General features: G+C 46.0%; 2 annotated features.

Annotated features, from left to right (window-relative positions):
• Positions 723-1223: an enhancer, noted in NCBI's record as "H3K4me1 hESC enhancer chr10:115213798-115214298 (GRCh37/hg19 assembly coordinates)". NCBI's record gives its function as "activates a minimal SCP1, AML or CMV promoter by ChIP-STARR-seq in primed H9 embryonic stem cells {active_cell/tissue: H9 hESC(primed)}" and the evidence as "EXISTENCE:reporter gene assay evidence [ECO:0000049][PMID:30033119]".
• Positions 1194-1488: an enhancer, noted in NCBI's record as "tiled region #1511; K562 Activating non-DNase unmatched - State 13:Ctcf". NCBI's record gives its function as "activates a minimal TATA promoter and a strong SV40 promoter by Sharpr-MPRA in K562 cells {active_cell/tissue: K562}" and the evidence as "EXISTENCE:reporter gene assay evidence [ECO:0000049][PMID:27701403]".

Raw genomic sequence — 6335 nt, forward strand, 5'->3', positions numbered from 1 at the left:
AGATCCAATAATCATAGCAGACACCAGGTACTCAGCTAAATACTTAACACTGTTTCCATACTTCATTAATGCCCACCACAGTCCTGTGGTGATACCGATAATATTATTCCTTTTTACAGATGAGGACGTGAGACTCTGAGAGGTTAAGTCAAGGCTGCCACATCAGTTGCATGCGTAGTCCATGTGACTAGTACCCCCTGGCACTGTGGGTGCATAACAGTAACGAAAATAGCAGGCAGCACTCATTTGGAATCCGCAATATGCCACACATTCTCACATGTATTAATTCTTTAATCCTCTTGCAAAACTCAGAGACCACACACCAAGGTCAACAGCTAATAAGTGACGAATCTTTTAGAGTCTCCTCCATAACACCCTACACTTTTCCTACATAGCACTTTAAAAGAAAATAATTTCAACTTTTATTTTAGACTCAGGAGGTACATGTGCAGGTTTTTTACATGGGTATTTTGCACGATGCTGAGGTGTGGGGTACGATTGATCCCATTACCCAGGTAATGAGGATAGTACCCAGTAGTTACTTTTTCAGCCCTTGGTCCCTTCCGTCCCTGCTCCTCTAGTCCCCAGTGTCTATTATTGTCATCTTTACATCCAGGGGTACTCAATGTTTAGCTCCCACTTATAAGTGAGAACCCTACACAGCACTTCTTGATTAATCTTGATTAATTCTACCCCCTCCCATTAGATGCAAGCTCCCTGACAGCAGAATAGTCATTCTTGTGTCCCCAGGACCTGGCAGAACACTAGGCTCATAGAAGGTGCTGAATAAATCTTTATTGAAAAACGAATGAATGAATGAGGTGTGTAAGTCAGATACCAGGAAGAGTTTTCACGGCAAAAAAAAAAAAAAAAAAAGCTGTCCTTTATTTCACACCAAATGATGGGAGCATATGTGCGGGGTGGCAGTGGGGTGGGAGCCTGAATGCTGGCATTGGTGCCCGGCCATGCCCCATCGATGAAGTCCTCTGGGGCACACAGACTGAGGCTGGCAGGGACGAACTTTCTAAAGCACCACAAAGTTCCTTGGCCCCCACACAACGTCTGGCCCCAAAGCCTTCATTTCTCAGATAAACAAAGACAATCCAGCCCAACTTCCAACCTGGCCACCGGCCAACAGGCACTTGGGTTCAAGACTGATTTTGTTGAAACAGCTGAATGTGCACCAGGCAGACCCGGCCCTTCTGCTCTGGATCCCTTCTCTCTGTCTCTGGCTGAAGACGAGAGCATCCTGGGGTCGGGACTCTTAATCCTCCTAACCTAAGGGAGGATGTGCGCCTGACACAGGGCCAAGGCCCCCCGACACCCTGATGCGCGGCCCCGGGCCCATCTGGAATGTTCAGAAATGCTGCCATCTTGTGGCGCCTGCAGGCCGGAGCAAGGCACCTTCCGGCTGATCTTGAAGTTGATTCCTAGAAGATGTTGCTCCAAATAAGCACACACAGACTGTGTGCATTTGCATTGCCACATGCTAAGCCGCCTATACCACCCACTCACTGCTACCCCAGGTGTGTTATCTGCTTTGGGCCAGCCTGAGGTAAAACTGTCAACACTGAAAATCATTACCTTTGGCACCTCCCAGCTCTCCGGAAGTTATCTGGTCTGTAGACAACAAGTCCCTGAGGGAAGTGGGTGGGGCACAGGGCAGGTAAGTTTTGACAGAAAAGGAAACTGGGCACAAAGTCTAAGGTGCTACAACAACAACAACAACAACAACAACAACAACAAAAAGATGGGCCCTACAGGAGCCTGCTGAGCACAGAGTTACTGAGTTGAGCTGTTGGAATCACAGTGGTAAGGGGCCCTCCCCGCTGGTGCAACAAGACACAACAGAGTGTAGTTATTGTGCACTTGGACCCTCGGGTTAGCTAACCTGAGTTTGAGTCCCCATTCCACCACTTGGTAGCTTTGTGACCCTGGTGAAGTTGCTTAACCTCTCTGTGCCTCCATGTTTTCAACTATAGAATGAGGGAAATAAGTTGTAATTACCACAAAGGATAGTTTTAAGGATTCAGTGATATTTGTAAAATATTTATATAGTGTTGGTGCATTATAATTGTTAAATAAAAATTAAATCAAATGTTGTGTAGATTTGGAAGCAGGATTAATTTATCCCGTACCTATTTTATTCAGCACCCTTGCCCAGTGCTAGGTGTCAGAGGTGCAGAAATGGAGTTCCAATTGTGGCATATATACAGTTACTAGGGAGCAGAGGTGAAGGCAGGCTGAGGTTTAAGCAACTACCTTATTATTCCCCAGCTGTGAAGCCCTGGCAAATGTCCGTTCCCCATCCTGAGTCTGTTTCCCCATCTTTGTGTTACTGGTGGAGGATGTCCAGGTTCTTGTTGTTTTGAACAAAGAATTGGACAAAATGCACAAACGAAAGAATGAAGCACCAAAGCAGATTTATTCAAAGGAAAGTACACTCCACAGAGTGTACTCTACAGAGTGGGAGCGGGCTTCAGCAAGTGGCTCAAGAGTGCTGGTTACAGAACTTTCTGGGGTTTTAATACCCTCTAGAGGATTCTCATTGGCTACTTGATTTACACCCTGTGTAAATGAAGTGGTGGCCCGTGACCAGTCTGATTGGTCATGGAAGGTGAAGTTACATCCAACGCAAATGAAATTACAAAGTTACATCCTATGCAAATGTCTGATTGATTGTGGGAGGGGACCAGAGACTGAAGTGAAGTTACAAAGTTTCACCTGTATGCAAATGAAGACTAGGCCCGCAACAGGACTTTCCATTTTTTCATCTATGACATAGAAAGCAGGGAGTGCAAAGGGAGTAGCCTCTGATCGTTTTGTTACTTGAACATGGAAAGTTGGGGTTTTCCTTTCAATTCAGTTCCAGGAAGTCAGTGCAAATCAGCCTTAGGTTCCCTGCCCCCACACCCCATTCTCCTGTCTCATTTGAAATGAGGGTATTGGACTATGACAGTGTTTCTTCATCCTGGCTCCTCATTCAAATCACCTAGGGGGCTTTTAAAAACTATCAACACTGGGCCTTACACTTTCCCACTCTGACACTGATAATATTTAGTCAACAAATATTATGTGAGAATCCAGGCTGGGAACAGTTTCTGCTAGGCACTGGGCTCCCTCTGGGGTAGAGTTAGAGGATGTCATCCTGTCCTTGAAATAGTCTCAGCCCATGGAGAAGTGCAAGTATGCAGGCAACTTACTGAACACAAGTGGAGACTGAGGCATGTCATGAAAGAAATCTATACCAGGACTCAGAAGGGAAGGCAGAGGCAAGAGATGGCTCTTCCACCTTGGAGGTGGGGTTGAAACTGTTGCAGGTAGCACCTGAGTTAGCCAGAAAAAAATAAGGGCAGAGGGGACAGTTTCTCCCAAGACTTCCTAGCCCATCCACATGAGAAAATCAAATTGAGCCTTTATTACCACACATTTTTAATAAAGGAAAGAGATAGATAACAAAGAAGGAAGTAGAAACTCGCACAGTCTGCCATCCCAGCATCCATCCTGGGTCCCAAGGCAGGGTGCTCTTCTGGTCGAGGGGTTCAGTCCCAGGAGGGTTACAGCAGATGCTGGATGCGGTATTAGTGACCTCTCCCGGACCACAGTCCCATGCCTGCTGGGACCCTATTTCTCCAAAGCAAAAAGCCAAAGGACTGAAAGTGCACAGGTCACTTCTGCCCACAATCATTGGTGAGAACTAACTAAACACAGCCAGCTCCTGGCACACCAGTTAAGCAAGCGGCCTCTGCAGCTCAGCACATACTTGGGACATATGCTTCCCGCTTATAGCTCTTGCAGTTCAACAACACAATTCATGCTTCCTCTTTCCCCATCTCCCAGGTGAGAACATCACAAATAGAACTTTCAAGAATGCAGTCTATGGGGATGAGGAAAGGCTTTGTAGAGGAGGTAGCGTGAAGGGTGGTGGGGCCCAAAGGACCAATGTATAGGCTGTATGCTGTTTGCCGAATTTCTCAGCTCTTTGCCATCCATGCTAGGCTTGTATTTCCTTTGTTGTCCCTGTGTAGCCTTGTGGTTAGTTCTGACCAATGCGTGTGGGCAGACGTGACCTGTGTCACTTTTGGGCCAGAGCACTAGACCCTCCAAAGCCCTCTCATTCTCTCTGATACAGTGACTATATTGTTTGAAATGATAGCTGCTCTGCCACTCTAGGCCCCTCCGTGATTACGATGAACAGAACCCCCTGCCAACCATGATGAACTTGGAGGATGGGCAAAGAGATAAATCATGTTATTTTAAGTCACTGTGTTTGGGGGCTGTTTGTTACTATAGCATAGCTTAGCCCATTCTGACTGATACAATGGTCATGATTTAGATGAATGACTGGCTATCAGAGAAGAAGATGTGATTTTGAACCAGTCACGTTTCTTCTCTGGTCTTCACTTTTCTCTTGACATGGTGACATCGTCCTGGAAGGCTGAGCCTACACTCAGAAAGGAGGGAAAAGAAAGAGTCGCATGCAACTTTTATACAATAGGTCCACATAGACCTCTGTGTGTCTTTTCACACTAACCTGAGGAAATGGAAGAGCAGGTGAACTTTCCACTTGTTGAGGTTGGAGAAGGATGACTCCTCTGCGTTCCTGGTTTCCCACTTCATCCCCACCCCACTACGCTTTCATGCCTGGCACCAATTGTACATGTTCAAGCAATAGTTTCCATCTCCGGATGTTCATCAGAAAGGTGGGTAGAGCTATTTTTATTTCACCTTTTTACAAACTAAAAATTTATTTACACATTTTAAGACAAATTCAGGGCTCTGCCACAGTCTGAGTTTAGATTCACTCAAGAGTCCATAGTCTACAATGACAGCCTTGTACAGAGAAAACTGACACTTACCACAATGGCCCTGCATTGGGGTAAAGTCCTAAAATGTCTTCAGAAAATGAAAGAAAGATACAATTGTATGTGAAATATCTTTAGTGATTGAAGGAATCTTAGAAATCATCTAGTTCAACACTTTCAGGTTACAAATGAGAAGAAATGAAACCCAGAAAGAGAAAGGAAATGACTTACTTCCTCAGAGTGCTTGGGAGGTAGGTCCTCTGTCTTCTGGGACAGAGGGAAGAGGCTTGCCAGGTGCCCACTGACTCAGGTCCAGGACAGTGGCACACGTTTGTATGTTGTTGTTAAACTGACTTTACCAGTCCCCATGGGCTGGCGAGGCTTAGAGCGTTTTGGGTGATAAAACAGGAATACGTCCCCGTTTTATTGATTAAGGCACCAAAGCTCACAGAGAGTTCAATGCCACGGCCAAAGTGTTAGGGCTAATCAAAGGCAGAGCTGGGGCCAGGCTGTGTTCATTTCCTACGTGGCTGTAACAAATTACCACTGACTTAGTGGCTGAACACAACATACATTTCGTATCTTCCAAGAGCCAGACCCGGGTCTCACTGGGCTAGTCAGGATGCCAGCAGGGCTGTGTTCCTTCCAGAGGCTGCCGGCTAAAAACCATTCCCTTGCCTTCTCAATCTTCTAGCAGCCACCCGCATTCCTTGGCTCATGGCTTCCTTCTTCCATCTTCAAAACCAACTATGTTGCTTCTCTTGGACAGCTCTTCTGTGGTCACATCTCTCTCTAACTGCAGTCAGGAAAGGGTCTCCCCTTTTAAGGACTCGTGTGATTAGAGTGTGATCACCAGATAATCCAGGGTAATCTCACCATGTTATGGTCCTTAACCTTAAGCACACCTACAAAGTCCCTTGTGCCACGTTAAGGTAACATATGAACAGGTTCCAGGGAATTAGTCAGGCACATCTTTGAGGGCTCCCAATTTAGAGCCCTGGGCCATACACCAGGCTGTGCACCTGCCCTCCTTCCCTCCATGCCCTCCCGGATTCCCTTCAAACACAGGGAGTGACTTCACCTCGGGCTACATCTGCTTCCAAACTGCTCAGCACGGTTCTCACCCAAACCCACCATTTGATTCAGAAATTACATGCAGGACTAATTGTTGCTTGAGGCTCCTTATGAAATGGGGATCATTTATAACAAAAAAAAAAAAACCCAGCACAAGGCTTCAAGGTATGAAATAAATTGTTCCAGGAGGAGACAACACACACACAACCACAAACATATCATTTGAGCCCAATACTACACCTCCTACCCAGAAAAGCAAAGGCCTCCTATTGTTAAAAGGACAGTGAAGGTACGTCTTCTTATTTTATTTTTTTAACCCAATAATAAAATGGAGGCAGGAAGATGAAGCAGAGATGTTCCAGATGTTCCAGGTGCTGAGAACAGGGCTGGTTGTGCCCTGAGAAATCACAGCAAGCTCTCCTCTCTCTGGATGTCAGCTTCCGCTTGTTTTGAAGG

This window comes from Homo sapiens, chromosome 10 (assembly GCF_000001405.40).
Source record: "Homo sapiens chromosome 10, GRCh38.p14 Primary Assembly".
Classification (NCBI taxonomy): domain Eukaryota; kingdom Metazoa; phylum Chordata; class Mammalia; order Primates; family Hominidae; genus Homo; species Homo sapiens.